Below are 24,462 nucleotides of genomic sequence, written 5' to 3'. Positions count from 1 at the left end.
TAAAATGTGTGAAGAGCCAGGAAAGAACATTCAGATTAATTGACCAATATGTTCCTGTGGATCAAATTCTTTAATTCTTTCTTCAGTTTAACAATTTATCCCTACAGGTCAAATTCCTCAATTATGATCAATCCCTGTAGGTCAAATTCAAATTTAATCTTTTTAGTAGTTTTATTTCTGATAAATTTTTTATTTCATTTCACCTCTCCCAATGGATAGTTTATTTCAAAACACACTGCAACCCATTATTGTCAATGCTTCAAACTTACTCCGATTCATGGGTCTGTGTATGATAGCACTCAGCCTCTCTCTGGTTTCCAACATGCTTGGGTTAACCGTAATGATCCCAACTTCCTTTTTTTGTCACTTCTTGGCGTCCACACCCAAAGCATGTAATCCTATTGGAACAAATGTAAAGCAAAGTGCAAGACAATGACTGGAGTTGGTTGAGATATATTGGACTCATGTTTGGCCAAATGTATGTGCCACAGTCAATTTGAAAATAATGCTTTCAATTCCCTTTTACTTCACATATCAGAACAATTTTCTATTAACTAATATGATGTTTTGACTTTTGGTTTTAGTATATTTTAGTACAAATATCCAGGGACAAACTCTTAGATTGAATACATCTAAGAGACAGACTTTCAATTCATCCAAATATTCCAGATAAAGGAAGCCATGGGTGTAAAGGTGATGGAGTCATCTGAAAGAGGTGGATTCATTGGCAGGTTTAAAGTCCTGGTACCTTCTTTCAATCTCAACTCCTATGAGAAAAATCAGGTCAGCTAAAAAGAGAAAAAAGGCACATTTCTTCCATCACATCTAAGTTATAATATGAAACACGGAAACCACTCCTTTGATTACCTCTCTCCCTTGGGTTCCCTCTGAGTTGTGAAGCCACTTCCTCCCCTGAGCCTCTGCACCTGCGGTTCCCTCTATCTGAAATGTTCTTCTCTGACTTTTCACACCTTTCAGTTCTCACCTTAAATGTCAACTCCTGAGTGAGGCCTTCATCGACTGCCCTATCAAAATAAGCCTACTCTTCTTTTTTCCAGTCTCTGTACAGTACCAATTTATTTCTTCATTACCCTTGATTCTTCACTGTACCCCCTCCAACCTGCGCCTCTCAAGACTTTCCCATTTCAGGAAATGGCCCTACCTATGTGCTTAAACCAAAAGCTTCAGTCCTTCTAATCACTCTCTCATTTACCCTCACCCCCACATCCAATTTAACCACAGCCCTGCCAGTTCTGTCTTTAAAATATATCCTAAACACATTCACTTCTCTTGCTGAGCCCTGCCACAAACCCTACTCTAGACCACATCCTTCTCATATGGTTTGGCTGTGGTGGCCCCATAACTAGCCACCTTTTCCACACCGTTCCACATCACATTCAACAAAACATTTTAAAAATATAAATTGTATCCCTCAGGTCCTCTGTAGACCTTTCACAGACTGAGGGTCTTCACTCAGCCCACAAGGCCTGCAGAATATGCCATGCCAAGCCCTCACCTAACACTGAGCTGTGTTCTACTCTGAACTGACTAGTCATCCTCCTACCTCAGGGCTTGGCTCTTCCTCGACCTGTGAGAACCTCCTCCATTATCATAACAAAGATGATGAGTACTTTTCATCATTCAGGCCTCAGCCTAAATGTCACCTCCTTGAAAAAATTCTCCCTGAACACCCCCTTCCTCCCAATCAGAATTCTCTTCTTTGTTCTTCTTTTCTTTAGTGCACTTACCACTGTGATGAAATTGCTAGTTAATCCAAAAGTGTAGTCTTTTCTAATTCCTCTTCCACATACACACTATGTAAGACCCCTGGGAGCAGGTCCCAATATCCCCAGCACTCAGAACAATACATATCTGGCTCATAGGTGCTTAGATTGAACAAGTAACAAACAACTGAATGAACGAACAGCTTGAAAACCACTTATTCCCTGAAAGAGGAGCATCTTCTTCTGGTCTTGTTTTCCTCATCTGTGAAATGAGGCTATTGAATAAGGGAATCTCCAGAGCTCTTTTTAGCCTAAATGGCTGGGAGTCTTGCTGTAATTGAAAGGGCACCCAAGTAGTTGGTTCAGTGAGGCCATATTTTCTCCACAGACAGTTTAAATGGCTATTTCAATGTTCTCCTAAAGTATGAATTAGTTACTGGAAAGATCGTATAACTTTATTAGTTAATAATATGTGAGAGTTAATAATTGCCAATTAAGTAAAAAGGACCAAGTAAAATGTAAGTCCATCATTACAACAAATGTTGAAATAAATTGCTTGTGATCAAGGGTCTATTCATATCTGGCATTTAGTTTTTTTTGAATTTGGCTTCTCTGGGCTAGAGCCCAATACTTAAACACAAGAAAATACAGAATCAAGACTCCATTAACTGCAAATGGTTTGTTGTGTTCCTAATGGGGCAATATTCTTTATTGTCAGTTGTACTTGATTTCCAGTTTCAATTCATTTTTCAAGTTCTTCCTGACAAAACACTATAGTGGAAGAAATAATCTTATTTTGGCAGAGTTTCCAGCTATATGACTTCAGCTTACTACCTCCCAGGAAATGGCAGTAGGACTCAAAACTTAAAGTCGTACTCTCCATTCCAAAGAGAAGTTCCCTTGGAAGAACTACACACTAACTCTAAACTCTCTTTAAGCTTCAAAGCAAGCACATTTTGTGCCAGTCCCCATGGTCCATTTTTATCATACAGGCATACCCAAAAGATATTGCAAGTCTGGCTCCAGACCATGGCAATAAGGTGAATATTGCCATAAAATTAGCCACATAAATTTTGTGTTTTCCAGAGCACATAAAAGCTATGTTTACATTATATTATAGTCTACTAAATGTGCAATAGCACCATGTCTAAAATAACAATGTACATACTTTATTAAAAGATAATTTATTGCTAAAAAAAAAAATCTGAGCCTCCACTGAGTAGCAATCTTTTTGCTGGGGAAGGGTCTTGCCTCAATGTTGATGACTGCTGACCAAGCCGGATGATGGTTTCTAAAGGTTGGTGTGGCTGTGGAAATTTCATAAAATAAGACAACAATGAAGCTTGCCACTTCGATTGATTCATCCTTTCATGAAAGATTTCGCTGTAGCATGTGTTGCTGTTTATAGCATTTTACTCTCATAGAGCTCCTTTCAAAATTGGAGTCAATCCTCTCAAGCCCCTCCACTGCTTTATCAACCAAGTTTATGTAATATTCTAAATTCTTTGTTGTCATTTCAACAATGCTCACAGCATCTTCACCAGTAGTAGAGTTCATCTCAAAAAAACACTTTCTTTGCCCGTCTGTAAGAAGCAACTCTTCATCCGCTAAAATTTGATAATGAGATTACAGCCATTCAGTCACACCTTCAGGCTACACTTCTAATTCTGGTTCTTTTGCTAGTTCCACCATATCAGCAGTTACTTCCTTCACTGAAATCTTGAACTCTGCAAAGTCATCTATGAGGGTTGGAATGAATGCCTTTCACACTCCTGTTAATGATGTTTTCACTTCCTCCCATGAATCACAAATGTTGTTAATGGCATCTAGAATGGTGAATCTTTTCCAGAAGCTTTTTAGTGTATTTTGCCCAGATCCACCAGATGAATCATTATCTATGGCAGCTATAGTCTTACAAAATGTATTTCTTAAATAATAAGACTTGAAAGTTGAATTAGTCCTTGATCCATGGACTGAAGAATAAATATATTAGCAGGCATGAAAACAACATTCATCTCCTTGTATATCTTCATCAGAAATCTTAGATGACTGGGTGTATTGGGTGTATTGAAAGGAATCTTCTTTTCTGAGCAGTAGGTCTCAACAATGGACTTAAAGTATGTAGTAAATCACACTGTAAACAGATGTGCTGTCATCCAGGCTTTGTTGTCCTATTTATAGAGCACAGGCAGAGTAGACTTAGCATAATTCTTAATGATCTAGGTTTTTCAGAATGGTAAATGAGCATTGGCTTCAACTTAAAGTCACCAGCTGCATTAGCCCCTAACAAGAGTCAGCCTGTCTTTTGAAGCTTTGAAGCCAGTCATTGACTTCTCTTGTCTAGTTATAAAAGCATCTTTTTCCAATGGAAGGCTATTTTGTCTACAGTGAAAATTTGTTGTTCAGTGTAACCACCTTCATCAGTGATTTTAGCTAGATCTTGTGGGTAATTTGCTGCAGCTTCTACATCAGCACTTGCTACTTCACCTTGTACTTTTATGTTATGAAGATGGCATCTTTCCTTAAAGCTCTTGAACCAAGCTCTGTTAGCTTCAAACCTTCCTTCTGCAGCTTCCTCACCTCTCTCAGCCTTCATAGAATTGAAGAGAGTTTGAGCCTTGCTCTGAATTAGGTTTTGGCTTAAGGAAATGTTGTGGCCAGTTTGATCTTCTATCCAAACCACTGAAACTTTCTCCATATCAACAATCAGGCATTTTATTTTCTTATCGTTTGTGTTCATTGGAGTAGCATTTCTGATTTCCAAGAACTTTTCCTTTGCATTTACAAGTCAGCTAACTGTTTGGCTCAAGAGGCCTAGCTTTTGGCCTGTCTTGGCTTTCAACATGCCTTTCTCACTAAGTGTAATCATTTCTAGCTTTTGATTTAAAGTGAGAGATGGGACTCTTCCTTTTACTTGAACTCTTAGCAGCCATTGTAAGGCTACTAACAGGCATAATTTCATTACTGTTTTGTCTCAGAAAATAGGGAGCCTGAGGAAAGGAAGAGGGATAGGAGAAGGGCCAGTCAATGGAGCAGTCAGAGCACACATAACATTTATCAATTATGTTCACTGTCTTATACGGTCACAGTTCATGGTGCCCCGAAATCATTATAATAGGAATATCTAAGATCACTGATCACAGATCAACATAACAGATACAATAATAATTTTAAAGTTTGAAATATGTTGAGAATTACCAAAATTTGTCACAGAGACACAAAGTGAGCACATACTGTTGGGAAAATGGCACCAATAGACTTGCTCAATGGAGGTTTGCCATAAAACTTCAATTTGTAAGAAACACATCTGTGAAGTGCAATAAAACAAGGTATGCCTGCACACCTCCTCTGAAGCTGTATGCCTAGATACATCCAGCTTCAGAGGCTAAAGGCATAAAAGAATAAGCTTTGAGATAAAGTAGAAGTTTGATAAGAAAATAGTAACCCAAAAAAATCTAAGACATCCATGGAAGCTTTCCCTATTCTCTTTCTCATCTTCTAAATCAAATCCATTTTTTAAGGGTCACTTTAAAAGTCACCTCCTCCAGGAAATATTTCCCTGGCCATTCAGGCCACTATAAAATCTCCTTCCTCTAAATTCCTGCCACACTTTGCTTGGAATTACTCAGTTCATTTGATTCAGGGATCATAAGTGTTTGCTTATATCTCCTTACCTCCCAGTAGACAATGTGCCATTTACCAAACTATCTTCCCTACTCCACCAGGCACTCAAAAGACAAGGACTTCCTCTTACCGAGAAAGCTCAGCAAAGCCTAATATCACACTTCTGTTTTTATGTTCAAAATCATTGTTGCCTTTATTCAAAGTATTAATAAAATACAGGTATATCCTAGAACTTTCATAAGAATTTGTTGTTGTTGTTGTTGTTGTTGTTGAGATGGAGCCTTGCTGTCGCTCAGGCTGGAGTGCAGTGCCTCAATCTCGGCTCACTACAACCTCGGCCTTCAGGTTCAAGCAATTCTCCTGCCTCAGCTTCCCAAGTAGCTGGAACTACATGCATGTGCTACCATGTCCGGTTAATTTTTTTTTTTTTTTTTGTATTTTTAATAGAGACAGGGTTTCACTATGTTGGTCAGGCTGGTCTCCAACTCCTGACCTCAAATGAGCCGCACTCCTCGGCCTCCCAAAGTGCTGGGATTACAGATGTGAGTCACCGCGCCCAGCCTCATGAGCATTTTTAACTCGCCACCTAATTTCTAGTTTGTTTTGTTTTGAGATGGGAACTCATTCCGTCACGCAGGCTGGAGTTCAATGGTGCAATCATGGCTCACTGCAGGTTCAAACCGCTGGGCACAGCTGGGCGCGGTGGCTCACGCCTGTAATCCCAACACTTTGGGAGGCCAAGGGGGGTGAATAACTTCAGATCAGGAGTTCGAGACCAGCCTGGCCAATATGGTGAAACCCCATCTATACTAAAGGTACAAAAAAAAAAAAAAATTAGCCAGGTGTGGTGGCATGCACCTGTAATCCCAGCTACTCAGGAGGCTGAGGCACAAGATTCACTTGAACCCAGGAGGCAGAGGTTGCAGTGAGCCAAGATCCCACCGCTGCACTCTAGCCTGGGCAACAGAGCAAGACTCTATCTCAAAAAAAAAAAAGAAAGAAAAAAAAGAAAAAAAAAAAAAAACCTGGGCTCAAGTAATCCTACTGCCTCAGTCTCTCAAGTAGCTAGGACTACAGGTGTGCCCCCATCACACCTGGCTTTGTTTTTTGTTTGTTTGTTTTGGTTTTTTGTTTGTTTTTATAAAGACAGACCTCACTATATTGCCCAGGCTAGTTTCGAACTCATGGCCTCAAGTAATGCTCCTACCTCAGCCTCCTCAAATGCTGGGATTACAAGTGTGATCCCATCATCCCCAAGCACCACTTAGTTTCTTTTTAACTCTTTATTTTGAAATAATTATAGATTCTCAGGAAGTTGCAAAATAGTCATTGCAGTCTTTCCCCAGCATCCCCCTAGTGGTGACAGCTGATATACAATATCAAAACATGAAATTGACTTTGGTATAATTCTGTTAACTAGACCATAGACTTTGTTTAATTTCACCAGTTTTTACATGTGCTCACTTATTTTTGTGTGTGTGTGTGCATGTGTGTGTGTGTGTTTAGTTCTGTGCAATTTTATCCCATGTATATATTTATATGGCCACCACAATCAGGACTCAGAACTGTTCCATCACCACAAAGAAATCCCCCATATTCTCCTTTTATCTTCACACCCACTCCCCATGCCTGTCACTGTAGTTTTGTCATTTTGAAAATGTTATAGAAATGGAATTATACAGTATGTAAGTAACCTTTTGCAATTGGCTTTTTTCACTCAGCATAATGCCCTTGAGATTCATCCAGATTGTTGCATGTATCAACAGTTCATTTCTTTTTATTGCTGAGTAATATTCTACTGTATAGATTTACTAGAGTTTGGCTGTTTCCAGTTTGAGACTATCGCAAAGCTGCTAGAAACTTTTGTTTACAGATGTTTGTGTGAACCTAAGTTTTCATCTTTCTGGGATAAATGCTCAAGAGTGCAATTGCTGGGTCATTATGGTAAGTACATGTTTTGATTTACAAGAAACTGCCAAATATCTTTCCACAGTAGCTGTGCCACTAGACATTCTTAACAATGTATGAGAAATCTAGTTTCTCTGCATTCTCTCCAGCATTTGGTAGGATCACTATTTTGCCTCATCTGACAGGTGAATAGTGATATCTTGTTGTGGTTTTAATTTGCCTTCTCCTAACAGCTAATAATGTTGAACATCTTTTTATGAGCTTATTTGTCATCTGTTTCTCTTCTTGGGTGAAATAGCTGTTCTAGTCTTTTGTGCATTTTCCAGTTGGACTGTTTGGTTTTTCCCTGTCGAGTTTGAAAGTTCTTTGTACAGTCTAGATATAAGATCTTTGTCAAATTTGTGGTTTGTAAATGTTTTCTATGTAACTTGTCTTTTCTTACTCTTAACAGATTATTTTGCTGCACAAACATTTTAAATTTTTTACAGACCCATTTACTAACTTTGCCTTTTATGGATGGTGTGTTTGATGTCATATCTAAGAACTGTTCACCTAGCCCTAGGTCTAGAAGATTTTTCCCTATGTTTTCTTTTAGGAGTTTGTATAGTTTTACATTTTATGTTTAAATTCATGATCCATTTTGGATTAATATTAATATGAGGTATCATGGTTAGGTCATGGTTTATTTTTTTGTCTATAGATGCCCAATTGCTCTAGCACCATTAGTTGAGAATACTACACTTTCTCCATTGCTTCACTTCTTTGTCAAACAAAATCAGTTGGGCAGTAGATACTGGCAAGAATTGAAAACAGGTACTCAAATAAGTGCATGTACACATATGTTCATAGCAGCACTATTCACAATACCCAAAAAGTAGAAACAGCATGTATGTCCATCAACAGGTGAATGCAAAAACAAATTGTGGCATACACATACAATGCAATATTTTCAACCATAAAAAGGAATGAAGTACTAATACATGCTACAAGGTAAATGAACCTCAAAATCATTATGTTAAGAGAAAGAAGCCAGACACAAAAGGTGACATATTATGTAATTCTATTTGTCTGAAATATCCAGAATAGGTAAATTCATAGAGATGGAATGATGATTGGTGGTTACGAGGGCCGGGAGAGAAGAAGGAATAGGGAGCAACTGCTTAACAAATATAGGATTTCCTTTGGGGCAGTAAATGTGTTTGGAAATAGAGATGGCAGTTGTACAACACTGTGAATGTACTAAATGCCACTGAATTATTCCATTCAGTGGAATAAAGAAAGGGGGTTTAATTGACTCACAGTTCTGCAAGGCTGGGGAGGCCACAGGAAACTTACAATCACAGCAGAAGGCACCTCTTCACAGGGCAGCAGGAGAGAAAAATGAGTGCCACTTATGAAGACATCAGATCTTGTGAGAATTCACTCACTACCACGAGAACATCATGGGGGAAACTGCCCCATGATTCAATTACCTCCACCAGGTCCTGCCCTTGACATGTGGAGATTATTACAATTCAAGGTGATATTTGGGTGGAGACACAGAGGCAAACCAATATCCAGAATAGGTAAATTCATAAAGATAGAATGATGATTGATGATTACCAGGGCCAGGTAAGAAGGAGGAATAGGGAGCAACTGCTTAACAGATACAGGATTTCCTTTAGGGAAATAAAAGTGTTTGGAAATAGAGATGGCAGTTGTACAACATTGTGAATGCTCTAAATGCCACTGAATTATTCACTTTAAAATAGTTAATTTTATGTTATGTGAGTTGCACTCAATCAAAAAAAAAGTTGAATGTAAAAAAAATAGTTGCATGTACAAATATATGCAACCATTCAACTACACACCCTTTATCTTGGTAGGTATATAGTTAACACTGTGCTTTTCACACATAGGGCCAACATCCAACCAAAGGTGAGCTGAATAAATGGATACCTACTCTTCACCAGGTCTTTTCTCTCACTGTGCTGGAGTTTTCCCCCATAGGCACATATCTCCCTGCCCTAACATACATTCTCAGGCCCCCTAATATTTCTCTCTCTATTATACTCAAGTAGAGGTCGACCTTGCTGACACATATTTGGCATAAGGTCTCAAGAAACTAGACATTTGATGAAAGTCAATTTATATTACCACTTTTGTTTTCTGCTTACCCACCTTACTGCTTAAAAAAATCTTCTGGCGGGGCGCAGTGGCTCACGCCTGTAGTCCCAGCACTTTGGGAGGCCAAGATGGGCAGATCACAAAATCAAGAGATGGAGATCATCCTAGCCAACATGGTGAAACCCCTTCTCTACTAAAAATACAAAAATTAGCTGGGCATGGTGGCAGGCGTCTGTAGTCCCAGCTACTCTGGAGGCTGAGACAGGAGAATGGCATGAACCTGGGAGGCGGAGGTTGCAGTGAGCCGAGACTATGCTACTGCACCGCAGCCTGGCAACGGAGGGCAATCAAGAAAAAAAAAATATTTTAAGTATTAAATGTAATATTTGCATGTATTATTTTAAATCATATGCATAATTTAAGAAAGGAGTTTTATCTTTCTGTTACTCTAGAATTATCTAGCGTATGAATTACTAGCTTTTCAAGATATTTCAATTTCACAGCTTCACTTCATTTTTTACATTAGAGAGAAAGCCTCTGTCAAGCTTTTCAAAGACACCCACAAACTGTCACCAAGAGCTTGTACAGGGGTTAGGCTGTCTCCACCTGATCATAGGACATTTCAGTCCCCATTTATGGAAGGCTGGGCCTAGGAGTGGGTTTCTTCGCCAGCCAGGCTAAAGGTTAATTGGGAAGTAAAGTCCCATCTCATGCCTGTGCCTAACCAACTGAAGAGCTCATTCGTTGTGTCAAACCTACAATTTACTGACTTTGTGGATCTGATATGAAGATTGATTTTTGCTACCTTGTCCTTCCTTTCAAATGCTAACAGTGGGATAATAAAGAAAATCTGCTCATGTCGAATCCCTGCTTAGATTTCTCCATTGAGCTCAGAATAAAGTCCAATGGGCCTGCATGTCATATGAACCCCTTGGCTTTCCGGCTTCCTCTGGACACTTCTCCTCCAACCCTGAGTCCCAGCCTGCCACCATATCAAAATGTTTCCACTTCTAAGATTTTGCCTGTCCTTGCTTGGCCCGGCCCCTTTGCAAGTGCTGTCATTCTTCAAGCTTAGCTCAGGATAATCCTGCCTTTAAAGTTCTCCTGACCCTTCACAGCTGGGTTAGGAGTCCCTATAGCAGTGTTCCCCCTTCCATGGCAGATCTTACCTGTGCTGCAATTTTCTGTTGACTCATTTTTCTCTCTCGTGAAATTAAAGACAAAGCTTATGCCAGGCATATAGTAGGTGCTCAACAAATGTTTTTAAATTAATATATTAATTAATTATTTATTTAATAAAAGATATTTATTGGACTCCTATTTTATGTCATTGTTCTCAATGTGAAGGTGTGGCATTTTACAAGGCAAAGCCCCTGCCCTCTTGGAGCTTATATTAGAATGAAATAAGGAGGAAGACAAATAAGAATACATATGTATATATATATGATGTATAAATACATCATTTTTATATATATATAAAATCAAGTTTTGGGTGGTGATAAGGGGTATGAAGAAAAGCAAAGCATGGTGAATGAATAAATGGATGGATGAAGAACTCAGAGCTAGAAATCAGGCAGTTCAGACTACACTGCCCTAGAAGCCTTATCCCAGCTCAGCATCTCTACATTTTCAGTTCTCTCTGCCTGGACTGTTCATCACGCAGACATCTATGTCTTGTCTCACTCCCTCAACCTCCTTAGCTCCCTGCTCAATTGCTGCTTCATTTCTGAATTCATACCTGACTAACTGCAATACCAATACCAATGTTCTGCTACAAATTCAAACTTGAAAGTACATGAATTTATTTTTTTAACTTGCTTATATCCTACAGATATTTACTGAATGCCTGCTAAGTGCCCACACTGCTCTAGGGCTGAGATACAGTAGGGCACAGAATAAATATTCCTGTCCTTATGGATCTTACATGCTATTGTTAGCAAGTAAATATATAATATGTCATATGGTGATAGGTGCTTTGAGAAAAAATAAAGCAAGAAAAAAAGTGAAGAAATTCTTAGGTAAGTGTGGAGAGATGGGGATTATTAGTATCGTAACTAGTTAAGAAAGAACTCACAAATAAAGCAACATTTGAGCAGAGAACTAAGGACGTAAGGGAGTGAGACAAGTATGTGTACATCTGCATGCTGAACAGTCCAGGCAGAGAGAACTACCACTGTAAAGACCCTGATGCAGGGCAAGGCTTCTGAACCTGAAACTCGCTCTTAATATGCAGTAGAAGCACAGGTTACAGGGGAGTGCATACTACACTGAGAACCAAACAAACCCAGGTGCAAGATTTGGGGACCCCACTTATTGGTTGTATGGCTTTAACCAAGTTTTTAACCACCTTGAATTTCCAATTATTTATTTGTACAATTAATGCCTAGCTGAAAGCATGGTCATGATACTCCAGTGGGATGATGTACTCTATAAACTGTGTCTATAAACTGTAAGATTGTAAATGTCACATAACTACCTTTTCATATTCCTTATCTTATAAGATTGACAGTAATATTAACTAGATCATTTAAAACCAATGATGAAGAGCAATTGTTATCTCTAAATGCACTGTGGAATTAATGGAATTATAGAATTTTTAGCTTCTTGTGGCATGTTTGCATTATGTACCTACTTATATACATAATGTGACTTATTGAACATTTGTTCAATCTCAGCATTTCCTTTTTTTTTTTTTTTTTTTTTTTGAGACAGAGTTTCACTCTTGTTGCCCAGGCTGGAGTGCAACGGCGTGATCTCGGCTCACAGCAACCTCCGCCTCCTGTGTTCAAGCGATTCTCTTGCCTCAGCCTCCCAAGTAGCTGGGATTACTGGCACACGCCACCATGCCCAGCTAATTTTTTGTATTTTTAGTAGAGACAGGGTTTCACCATGTTGGCCAGGCTAGTGTTGAACTCCTGACCTCAGGTTATTCACTCTCCTAGGCCTCCCAAAGTGCTGGGATTACAGGCGTGAGCTACCACACCTGGCCCAATCTCAGCATTTCTTGAAAGAGCTATCATTTTTTATCACTAACAGTATTAAGATTTCCTACATCTTTCAGGTTAAATATTTTATAAGATTGATATTTAGTTTCATTGTTTGTGTACATATGTCCTTTGTCAAATTGGCTTTGATTCCTGATTCTAGACATTGACCAGATTATTCTTATTACAATTTTATGATTTAAAATTGAATCCAGCTATTCCCTAAGTGCTATGTGAAAAAGAGTCCCTATCATTTTTTATTTAGATAAGCATAATACACTGGAGGTTTAAGTTCAAGAAGACTGAGTATCTAAGCCTCCTAGATGTCTGTTTTTTGTTGATGACTGGAACAATGGAAAGGGTCTGATCTGGTAGGGCAGTTAACCAAAAGGCAATTTAAGTTTTCATTATGATCCCTCATTGGAGTTCTATTATACACATTATACATGCGTATATATTACAGTGTAGTTATACACAAAGCCACGTTTATGTATGTTATGAGTGATATTGAAACCGGCCCAACTGTCCCCACAGAACTTATGTTTATGGTTTCTTTTGAATAAACATAAAAATTGACTCTCTGGTCTTAAAACTTCAGAAAGTTACATTTGTCTTATCTGAGTTCCTTTCACAAGAAACCAACCATAAGTCCTCCCAGATGGTATCAAGGAACTGACACTTACCAGATCAACACAGCCAAACAATGAGAAGCCAGTCCCTTCACTCATCATGACTGCCTAACTGACCACCTGCTGCCTCTTGACCAACTCCTCTTCTTTATGCCTCCTGAGTTCATGTTTTCCTGCATGTAGTTACATTTCTTCCATGTTATATAAACCCCTGATTTTAGTTGGTCAAGGTGATGGATTTGAGATTGATCTCCCATCACCTCGGCTGCAGCACCTGATTAAGCCTTCTTCCCTGGCAATACTCATGGTCTCAATGACTAGCTTTCTGTGCAGTGAGCAGTAGGACCTAGAACAAACCCCTGGCATTTCAGTAACAATACGAGGGATTTTTTTATTTTTTGAGACGGAGTTTCCCTCTTGTTGCCCAGGCTGGAGTGCAGTGGTGTGATCTCAGCTCACCACAACCTCCACCAACAGGGTTCAAGTGATTCTCCTGCCTCTGCCTCCTGAATGGCTGGGATTACAGACATGTACCACCATACCTGGTTAATTTTGTATTTTTAGTAGAGATGGGGTTTCTCCATGTTGGTCAGGCTGGTCTCAAACTCCTGACCTCAGGTGGCCTCCCAAAGTGCCAGGATTACAGGTGTGAGCCACCGCACCCAGCCAATACAAAGAATTTTTAAGTGTAATTCTGTTCTATACAAGTCCTTCAGAAACCAATATAGGAATGCATACAAAGCTAATTCACAGATAAGGCAGCATGTGATGAGTACCAAATGACTGATGAAGACAGAGTACAATGTAGGGTTGAGAGATTTCAGGGGTGAGGTAATTTACTAAGTCAGACAATCAGGAAAGTTTACATATGAATTAGGACTTGAATTAAGGATCTATGATGCAGAGATAAGAGGAAGAAGACATTTCCAGAAATAAAAAAAAAAGGCAAAGTCCTAGAGAGGGTGCCCACAGAGGATGTTTAGGAGACACTAAATGAAACAATGTAGCTGGAACCAAGGGCTGATCTAAAGTAGAGGCTTCATAGAGGACTACATTTAGAATGAAGGGTGGGAAGAACAGTTGGTTATGAGAGAATGTGGAAGGGCTGGAATGAATTGCTCCCTGATACTGACATATACTGTTGGTGGGAGTAGTAAATAATTAAAACTTTCTAAGAGGCAGTTCAGCAATATTTCTCAAACTGCATATACTCTTTGAATTAGTTATTACACTTCTAGAAATTTATTCTAAGGATATAAAGACAGAACATCTCAAAGATGTGTGTAGAAGGATGTTTACTATAGCATTACTTACAACAGGAAAATAAAACTAACTGTCCCATATACCAAATTGGTAATAAATAATAGTAACTCCACATATGGAATCCAATGCAACTGTGAAAGCAAGTTTTTTTTATTAGTAAGAAGATGTAAAGATAATATAAACACGAAGTAAAGAAAACAAGTGACAAAAAATCTTTACACGATATGATTCCAGTTTTAAGTGGTTATATAAAATGGGCAGTGAATACAACAAAATGTTAAGAGTGGTTAATGGCTGAATTCCTTTTTTAATCTCAAGGCAATTAATACTTACCTGAGTGTTCCTTCAGTGCCAATATGATAAACTGGGAAAATGTGTTGGAGGACACTTGTCAATGACTGCCTCTCCCATGGAAAGGACAGGTCTTGTCTCATGGAGGATGGTTCTCTTTTAACAGAGCCTTCCTGAAGCCAATGCCTGAAGTACAAAGCATAGTGAAAGGCCAGTAGCACAGACATTTTGAAGGTTTCACAGATCATACCAAGAAAGAACTGAGGCTTTAGTTAGTGTTTACTATGGTTCTGGGCCTTGTGCTTTTGTTTTGCATAGATGTTCTAATGTAATCCCCCAACTGTCCTATGAGTTAGCTACCAGTGTTATTCTCATTTTACAGATGGAGTATCTGAGGCATAGAGAGGTTAAGTTTCTTTTGAATAAACATAGAAATTGACCTTTCTGGTCTTAAAACTTCAGAAAGTTACATTTGTTTTATCTGAGTTCCTTTTGCAAGAAAGGGTACAGAGCTAAGTGATAAAGCCAGCATCCAAATGCAGACAATGACTCCAGATGACTCCAGAATCCACACTGGCTACTACACTCTGCAAACCCATTTTAATGCAAAAGAGAAAAACAATCCATCCTGTAGACCTCCTCATTTCAGGGCCATCTGTTACTATGTCCTCGGTGGGGAGTTAGGCAGCATACAATCAAATAGAAATGCTCTGGATGGGGCCTGTGGGAGCCATCTGGTGTTGGGACTGGCACTTCCTCACTTTGTAACTTTAGGCAAGTCATAACCCATTCAAGCCTTGACTTTCTCGTGAGTAAAACAGGGAAATAATATCTGAATGGCTGGCCTCCCAGGATGGCTGTGAAGATCAAAGAAGACAAAAACACATAAAGTCCTGTGAAAACTATCAAGTGGCACGCAAGTGGTATAAGGTATAATTAGTCACAATACTAGCATGGAACTCTCAGAATATTAAGATTGGACATCAAATTCTTCCAAGAAGCTCCTCAAGAGTCATTCTCAAGGAGTGTATCATACAATCCCAGAGACAGTTGCTCCAGCTGTGGCCTGACATTAGTGATGTGCCATTAGGGCAAGGCATCGAGTTTGCATCCCTGTGCAACACACCATGTGGTGCCGACTACCACCGACTAATGGACACCAACTGAGGTGGGCTGGATAACAGCACTCATACAACCCAAATTCCCCCCTGGAAAGCCATCTGTAGAACTTACTCTGATATTCTGGAAATAAGGCGTTTCCTAGGTTCACAACGGAGAACTTAGGTGAGTAATGATGGTGCCCACTACATACCATTACATGTTAGGCCCCTCATAAATATCTTCTGTAAGCCTCACAGTGTCCCTGCTATTACCCTACTTTACAGTTTAAAAATGTGAGGCTCAGGGAGGTTTAGAGGCTTTCCCACCAGTTAAGGTACAAAGAGCAAATTAAGGGATGATGACACAGTTTTTTGTTCCTCCATTTTTATTCTGATAAACTTATCCAAACTTTCTGGATTCAGTCCCTCCAAAATAAAGATAATTAATAAATCATACTAATTTCTGGGTTTCTGGTGACATGTTAGATGAGTAAAACTGAAATTGACTTAAAAGATTCTATTAAAATGTAAAACATATATCATTGTTTTGAGATCAATGCACGGCAGCCGGACTCATAAGATCATGTGAATTTAATAGGAAATTGTTTTGTCTAATTTTTTCTCAATTAAGAGGAAGAGGTTTTTTATTTTTAATTAAGAAAACTGAAAGGAATACTTACAACTGTGACACATTCTTAATGTCAATAATACATATAAACAACTCCTGTAATTCTATAAGATTGTTAACACTTAAACAAATTGACTCCAAAAATGAAATTTATATTTCTTTCTTACACAAAGGAAGAAATATAAATTTTTATCAAGTCTGTGTAAGTGCACTAGGTAAGTTCAAAGTAAAACAATGAGATCCCACATTTCACCAAATGAATAAGTAGAGATTTTTAAAATTTTTAATATTTAATGTAGGTGAGTGTAATGATAGACAACCTTTCTGGAAAGTGATTTGCTAATATGCATAAAGACCCTTCAACAATATGCTCTTTGTGGTAAATTCATTATGGCCACAAATTCTTTGACCCATCCCCTGGAAAGAGGTGTGGCCTATTTTAACCACACTCTGGAATTTGGCCTGTGACCACTTTGAGCAATGGAGCATGGTGGAAGGCACTCTGCCAGTTCTGTGCCTAGCCTTTAAGAGAACTAACAGCTTCCACTTCCTCTCTCCTGGAACCCAGTAGAGAAGTCCATCTGGAGGGCACTCAATGCCTCCAGCCACCAACCAGCATCAGTTTGTCAGCTGTATCAGTGAGCTATCTTGGAAGTGGGTCTCCAGCCCCAGTGAAGTCACCTCAGCTAACATTATGTGGAACAGAGACAAATTGTCCCCAAAGAGCCCTTCCCAAATTGCAAAATTGGGAGCAAATAAATTATTAGTGTTGTTTTCAGTCACTAAGTTTTAAGGTGGTTTGTTACACCACAATTAATAAATAAGATTGTCCCAATAATTTTACTCCTAGGAATTCACGCTCAGGTATTAATTAGAAATGCAGACAAAAGCTCACATTCAAAAGCATTTCTTGTGAAGAAGCTTAGGCAAACTTTATTGTCTAAATTAGGAAAATAATTATGTAGATCACAGTACATCCATTATGAAAGCAATTTCAATGTTAGTAATTTGGGAAAATACTTAAGATATACTTTTAAGTGGAAAAAGTCATATAAAGAGCTATGCATATCAAAGGGAAAAAATTAAGTTACAAGTGGTTATTTCTTGGCAATAAGATTATGGGTGATTTTATTCTGATCTTCACATTTTTGTGATAAGTGCATAATCAGAAAAAAAAACTTTAAAAGTGAGAAAAACTATCAACTTGCAAACTATGTCCATAGGTCAAATAAACATTAAAAACATGAAGTTATATTTTAACTATACTTTCAAACTCCTTTTTATAAAAACCATTTTACCAAGGCATTCAGCAGTATCGATGTTGAATTGTTTGCTGTTTCTCATAATTGACATGCTGATATGCAGTTATATTGCAGTTTTAAAAGTCATCAGGAGATAAACCTATTAGCAAAGGGCTTCCATAATCCATAAACTCGATATAAAAATCCTGAATAATTAAGCAGTTCCAATGATGTGGCAAAAAAAGTGAAAAAATTGAAGAAAGGGCTTCAAAAAAATCACACTAACATCATTAAAAACCTATTCTGGCTAGGACCCTTCCCACACACCACGTGCCTCAATCCTCTCAACAGCCTTGTGAGGAAAATGTTCTCCCCATTTTACAGATGTAGAAGCTTCAGACTTGACCAAAGTTTATACAGCCTGCACCTGGGAGTCCACCGCCATACACTCCCTCCACTGTACCCTCTCTCTGCACAAAGGTCAGTGGTTCAACATGTTTATATGGTGAAAAAAAAATTACCAAACACGTGAGCTTTTTGAAAAAACCTTTCTTTTATTCTAACACAATTAAGTAAAATATATTTAATTGGACTTTTCAATCCTCTTTGGCTACATCATTTTCTACTAACAGAACCTGAAGAAGTGCTCACAGGTATTGGGAGGAGGGGGATGAGGTTACAAAGTACAGGTAGTTCCTGATGCAGCTCCCTCCTCACTGTCCTCTCTTCCTTGCATCTCTGTGTGGCCCCATCCTTAGCATTACTGAGGTTTTTAGGAAGTGGAAAGCTGGCTGTGGTTGTTGGATTTATTCACTATTCATATTGGTTTTGTTTTATTTGCAGTAAGCCATATCAAACCAAGATGTGAAGGGTCAGTACCACAGAGAGTCGCCACAGGACATTTGACTGGAGACAATGAAGAGCCAGATCTTAATCAAGTCCAGTGTGTCTTTTCAAAATTAAAGAATGTCAAATAATAAAAATAACAGGCAAGACATTCATAGTGTCTATATGTATCAGCTCTGTGCTATGCATTTTATCTGTGGACATTATCCTACTTAATCCTCCTCCTTCTTAATAGGTAGCTATTATTTTTTATCTTCATTTTACAGATGGAGCTGAGAACTCAGACCCCAGGTGGTCAGGGTATGAACTGTTTGTCTGATCTCAGTCCGTGCTCCTAACCACCATGCTATGTGGCCACATGGGCTGCAGTAGTCAGGGCTGAGGATTCAGAGAATCCTGCTTCTTTCCTCCTCCCCCAGCTCCAGAGGGAACCCTGAATACAAGCAAGAGGAGAAAGGCTGCGGCAGGGAGAGTGAAGAAATGGGAATCCTCATCTTGCAAGGTCAAGCTGGAGGGTGGCTTTTTCCAAAGCCATGGCTACTTTCTTCCCAGTTCCAGGCTACTAAGTACACTGCAGTTTCTTTTAAATTGTGTTTGTATTCATCCATCACTCCCCATTTCTAAAAGGATATAAGGTAGTTATAACTACTTTATAGATTGGGCCATTGCACTTCAGCCTGGGCAAAAGAGTGAGACTCTGTCTCAAAAAACAAGCAAAAAAAATTATGTAACCCTCCTCATTTTTCCCTTAAAAAACCCATGTCTGCCTTTATCTCCTGAATGCACACATAGTTTACCATGGCAGTTATATTCCCATTGCAATGCTCTCTTCCCAAATAAATACCATTTTCTCTTAGAAAGCCTCTCTGTTATTTAGGTTGACAGCTCTAATGTCATTTTCTCAGCAATGCCTTTCCATACAACAATATTCAAAACTGAAATGTTTTTCCTACTTGCTTTCCCAAACAAGCAGCCTACATGCCCTTCCCTGATTTTTCTCCACAGTACTTCTCATGCTCAAATCACCAGTTACTTTCTTTCCTTTGTTTTCTATTTATCTGTCTCCCCTAAACGAGGGCAGGTTTCCGTATTATACACTGCTCTATTCCCAACAGCTAGAACAGAGCATGACAGAATAGATACTCAATAAACGTGTTAAAATAATTAATTAATTGACCAACAAACTCATCACTTTACAATTGCAAGGTCCCCTCAAAACACTTGTAAAGGTAAGTCAGTCAGTCAAAAAATGAGCCAGCCAGTTGTCTGGACTTTTCAATCATGTGGTAATAATTCAGGAAATATTTTGAAAGTCTTACAAAATTATGTGGTGACAAATAAAATTCTATTGAGATTTCAGGTGACATGTACCCTTTTATACTCTTTTTTTTTTGAGATGGAGTTTTACTCTTGTTGCCCAGGCTGGAGTGCAATGGCACAATCTCCGGTACTGCAACCTCCGCCTCCCAGGTTCAAGCGATTCTCCTGCCTTAGCCTCCAAAGTAGCTGGGATTACAGGCATGCGCCACCTCACCAGGCTAATTTTGTATTTTTAGAAGAGACGGGGTTTCACTACGTTGGTTAGGCTGGTCTCGATCCACCCATCTCAGCCTCCTGAAGTGCTGGGATTACAGGCATGAGCCACTGCACACAGCCCCTTTTATACTCTTTAAGCAAGTTTAGAATTAGTGATTATCAGTCACTTATAGCAGGGGCACAGCTTGAAGAAACAGACAAAATGCAGAAGAAGAGGTCAAGCATTACTGGAATTAAATCACCACTGTTAATTCCTAATGCAGTTGGTCCAAATAAATCACAAGTTTTATTATCCAGCTCTCTCCTACTGGCAAAGCAAAGGCAGGGAAGACAGTTATTGATGAGCACATCTTCCTTCATGCCTCAAGAAACTCAAAATTCCATGCCTCCTAACACAAGTGCAAGAATGACATGTGCACAACTGGGGGAGGTGTGTGCTCTGAGGAGAGACACCAGGAGACACAGGGCTCCATCTAGTACCAAGAGATGCATGCCTGCAGTCTCAGTGGTGAGATGTCGTCTTTTTAAACATTTCAATCTCAGTGATGAGAGGTTGTCTTTTCAACCAGTGAAAGGTAATCTAGCAGAACAGAAAACATGCCACAGAAAGGGCATTGCAGGCAGGCAGCGTGAGTCAGACCCCAGGTGGAGCTGGGAAATTTGCCCAGACCCAAAGGCCTATCCACCTGTGCCATCCAAATGTGGCAAAATGCCAACCTTGCATCTGAGGCAACCATTTTTGTCCACCACTCCTTGCCACACAATAGGGTTTGGGGAGCTCTTGGCTTTCCCATACTCAACTATGAGAGCCGGGAATATTTTCATGATAATTGAGATTTCTTCGTACAGTATTCAGAAAGAGAAAGTTGAATTGACTGAGGTCAAGATGGCATTCTTCTGAGCATTCTACTGTTGTCCTTAGCTTTGTTCACATTAATTGTAGCCTGGGCACAGACTTCACTGCGGTTTCTAGCATGGGAGGTGACTATATGACATGTATTGCTGGCTGTGAATGAGCCAGGATCTCTGAACCCTGCCTGTGCCCTGAGGCACACAAGACCTTCCCAAGCCTTTAGCTCACATTGACCCAACCCTCTTCTACAAACACCTGTACTCTAGTACTCTAGTCTTTGATTAAATGTAATCTCATCTTACTCCATTCTTTTTTTAAAAGTGTGATTATTCTTTCACAGCTAGAATATAGGTTCCTTAAGGGGCAAGGACTACATTTTATGATTCTTTGTTTGTGCCCACAGAACTACACACCACTGTCTGACCTAGCCTTGTATTTTTTTTCTTTTAGACAGAGTCTTGCTCTGTCACCCAGGCTGAAGTGCAGTGGCACAGTATTAGCCCACTGCTGCCTTGACCTCCAGTGCTCAAGGAATCCTCCTGCCTCGGCCTTCTGAGTAGCTGGAACTACAGGCGCATGCCATCATGCCCAGCTAATTTTGTAAATTATTTGTGGAGGCCAGGTCTTGCTATGCTTCCCAGGCTGAGCTTGAACTCCTGAGCACAAGCGATTCTCCCACCTCGGCCTTCCAAAGTGCTGGGATTACAGGCACAAGCCACCGTGCCTGACCATAGCCCTGTCTCTTTAAGTAATCCCAGAAATTCAAGAACAGAGAGCTCTGGACATCCCAGTTCTTTTTACCACAAAACTCTTGGATCCACTAACTACCTAACTCTTAATCTCCAGCTTCTCCTACAACAACAAGCTTCATCCTTGTCCAATATCACCTCTAAACTTAGAAATTTGCCCCTCACTATTCATCCCATTGGATCTGAAATGGACTTGGCTTTTTTGGTTTGGCCTCCTGTTGCCCCCTGGCTCTATCCATTCTGGGTACCTACTCCAGGAGATCAAGCCTACACTCACAAGACCCAACCTGTGATTAGCAAGATGCACAAGGCCACCACTGAGATCATCTGTGGTTCCTGTTGGAGAGAACTGAAGAAACTGGGCATGCTACAATCATCATGAGTGCAGTCAGAAGGAGGACATAATTCTGCCAAGCCACCTGCTGCTTCTCCTACCACCAGCAGCAGCAGCCCCTTCCCCTGGATGTTCATTCACCTCTCAGGTAAGCAAGAAGGAATAGTCCGACTTGGCTCACCACCACCTGAAGCAACATTTGATTTATCAGGGAAAGCAAAAATGAATTGAGGAATCAAGACATGAAAGTAGAAAAGACTGAAAGCTCCCTGAAGGCAAGCATTATGTGTGTCTTATTCATAATTGCATCTTCAGGTCATGCCAGTGTCTAACCTGTTAGTAGGTTCTCAATAAATTTGTGGAAATAATTAGAAATAGAATGTCTGTCTTTTATCTCCATCATACTGTTTTTTGAGGGAATTAAGTCAATAAACGTGTTATTGACATAGGCAGACACATTTTAGATACTTGTGTGTTAAGTTTCACTATTGATGTAGATAAAATGCTAGTTTCACTATTGATGTAGATAAAATTCTATGGCACTTGCACTCCAGCCTGGGCAACAAGAGTGAAACTCCATATCAAAATAAAAAAAAATGCTATGGCACACAGACAGCACTTTATGGAGTCAATTATTCTGTTCAAATTGGGAGCCTACAGGGGAAAAAGTAGCATTTGAGCTGGGTCTTGAAATAGGAAACAGCCATTTCAAAGGAAAGTATAATGATGAGAATAAAATTGGCCTCACAATTAAGACTCTTTGAGGGACAGCCTCCTCCTCAGAAAAGAGCTGCTGGTGCCCCTCTGGCAGACAGAGCTGATTGCTGACAACAGTCCTCTATCACAGATGCTCCACAACACACCGGAGATGCCCGAGAGGAACCCCGGGACATAAGTGGGGAGCACATGGCTTATGATAATTTTAGCTCTCACCCAAGGTCTGCTAATGGCTCATGTAGCTCAGCCTGGAAGATGCCTCAGAACACTGGTCAGTTCTAGGGCTCCCTCAAGGAGTTCTGGGCTATTCTTGGTGGGCCCTGGGGATTTAAGTCTGACTATGTGAGTCAGAATGCAGATGGAAAAGTCTGGTGCCTTAGAGAGGGCCTGGAACCAGCTGGGTGTGGTTTTTCGCACATGTAATCCCAGCACTTTGTGCGAATCACTTGAGGCCAGGAGTTCCAGACCAGCCTGGGCAACAGGGCAAAACCCCATCTCTACTAAAAATACCCAAAGTAGCCAAGTGTGGTGGCACGTGCCTGTAGTTCCAGCTACTCAGGAGGCTGAGGCATGAGAATCGCTTGAACCTGAGAGGTGGAGGTTGTGGTGAGCTGAGATACCACCACTGCACTCCAGCCTGGGCAACAGAGCGAGGCTCCGTTCTCAAAAAAAAAAAAAAAAAAAAAAAAAACCTGGAACCACCTGAGCCTCTGGTGTGGCTGGCTCTCACGATCACTCCAGGCAAGGATCTCCGTGGTAACTTTGCCAGCTCCCAAGGCCACCAGAGAAGAGAGCCTCCCTGGAGATCCAGGCTATTCTACACAAATGGTTGTAGACATTAACTAGGGAACACCCGCTTACCTGCAGCCATCTGTATAATCTCTAGGATATAGGCTGGGGCCCAGATACTTATGCCTATATGGGAAGAAAAAGTCCATGACCAGTAAGGAAGCTATGAGAATACATTAGAGCCATAAGTCATGTCTCTCCACTATTTCGAAGAGATAATAGCAACACTACTAGGCAAGAGTCTAGTTATGCAAAATTAAAGAGGAAGTGAGGTTCCAGGCAGCACTAAATTCAGTTGACCTGAAGACCCTGGAGAAGTACCCCAGGTTGTGAATCAGGTTGCCTAGACCCCAGTGGCAGCACTGTTACTATTTGTCTGTGGACAAATAATGATGTTTTGATTAAATAAATATTATCAATAGAATACTATCATAACAGAGGAAATAATCAATTTTCAATAAAAAATGAACCTCATTTAAACTGCATCATAAACCAGAATTAATTAGTAACTACAACATCTTAAATAGTACAGAAGTTTCCATTTTCAAGATACTTTACCATTTGTCATTGTGTATGATATTCATAATCCCTATTGAGGTAGACAGAAAAACAGGTTAAGACAGAGAGGCTAACTACATTCCCAGGTTTCACAGCAAAGCAGGAGGCAAGACCAAGAAAGCCTGATTCCCGATCCTGAGGTTTTCTGATCCTGGTCAAGTATGGTCACTGGGAAAATCTCTACAGTCACTGCTTTTATTTAGCCATCTCCAGATTTCATCTGTCAGGTGCTTCCATTTGACTTTCTTCGGTAACAAAATCCTATAGCTGACTGTTTGGCATTTAAAGCACTTAACTTTTTTTTTTTTTTTTTTTTTTTTTTTAGACAAAGTCTTGCTCTGTCACCCAGGCTGGAGAGCAGTGGAGCGATCTAGGCTCACTGCAGCATCTACCTCCCAAGTTCAAGCAATTCTCCTGCCTCAGCCTCCCAAGCAGCTGGGATTACAGGTGCATGCAACAGCACCTGGCTAATTTTTTTATTTTTTTGGTTGAGACTGGGTTTCACCATGTTGCCCGGGCTGATCTCGAACTCCCAGGCTCAAACGATCTGCCCATCTCAGCCTCCCAAAGTGCCAGGATTAC

At 39.9% G+C, this 24,462-nt stretch overlaps 1 long non-coding RNA gene across 1 annotated transcript; it reads right to left on the bottom strand.

Moving 5' to 3' along the window:
- Positions 1 to 269: 269 nt before the first annotated feature.
- LOC112268450 (uncharacterized) lies at positions 270 to 23,001 on the bottom strand. The gene is made up of 2 exons (XR_002959658.2): positions 14,572 to 23,001; positions 270 to 398 (listed from the first exon to the last, which is right to left on the bottom strand). It is a non-coding gene; the product is annotated as an uncharacterized LOC112268450 (long non-coding RNA).
- Positions 23,002 to 24,462: the final 1,461 nt, after the last annotated feature.

Source organism: Homo sapiens, chromosome 3, assembly GCF_000001405.40.
Source record: "Homo sapiens chromosome 3, GRCh38.p14 Primary Assembly".
NCBI lineage: Eukaryota > Metazoa > Chordata > Mammalia > Primates > Hominidae > Homo > Homo sapiens.
Note: the sequence above shows the minus strand (reverse complement) of the source record. Positions and strands in the feature narration are given on the sequence as shown.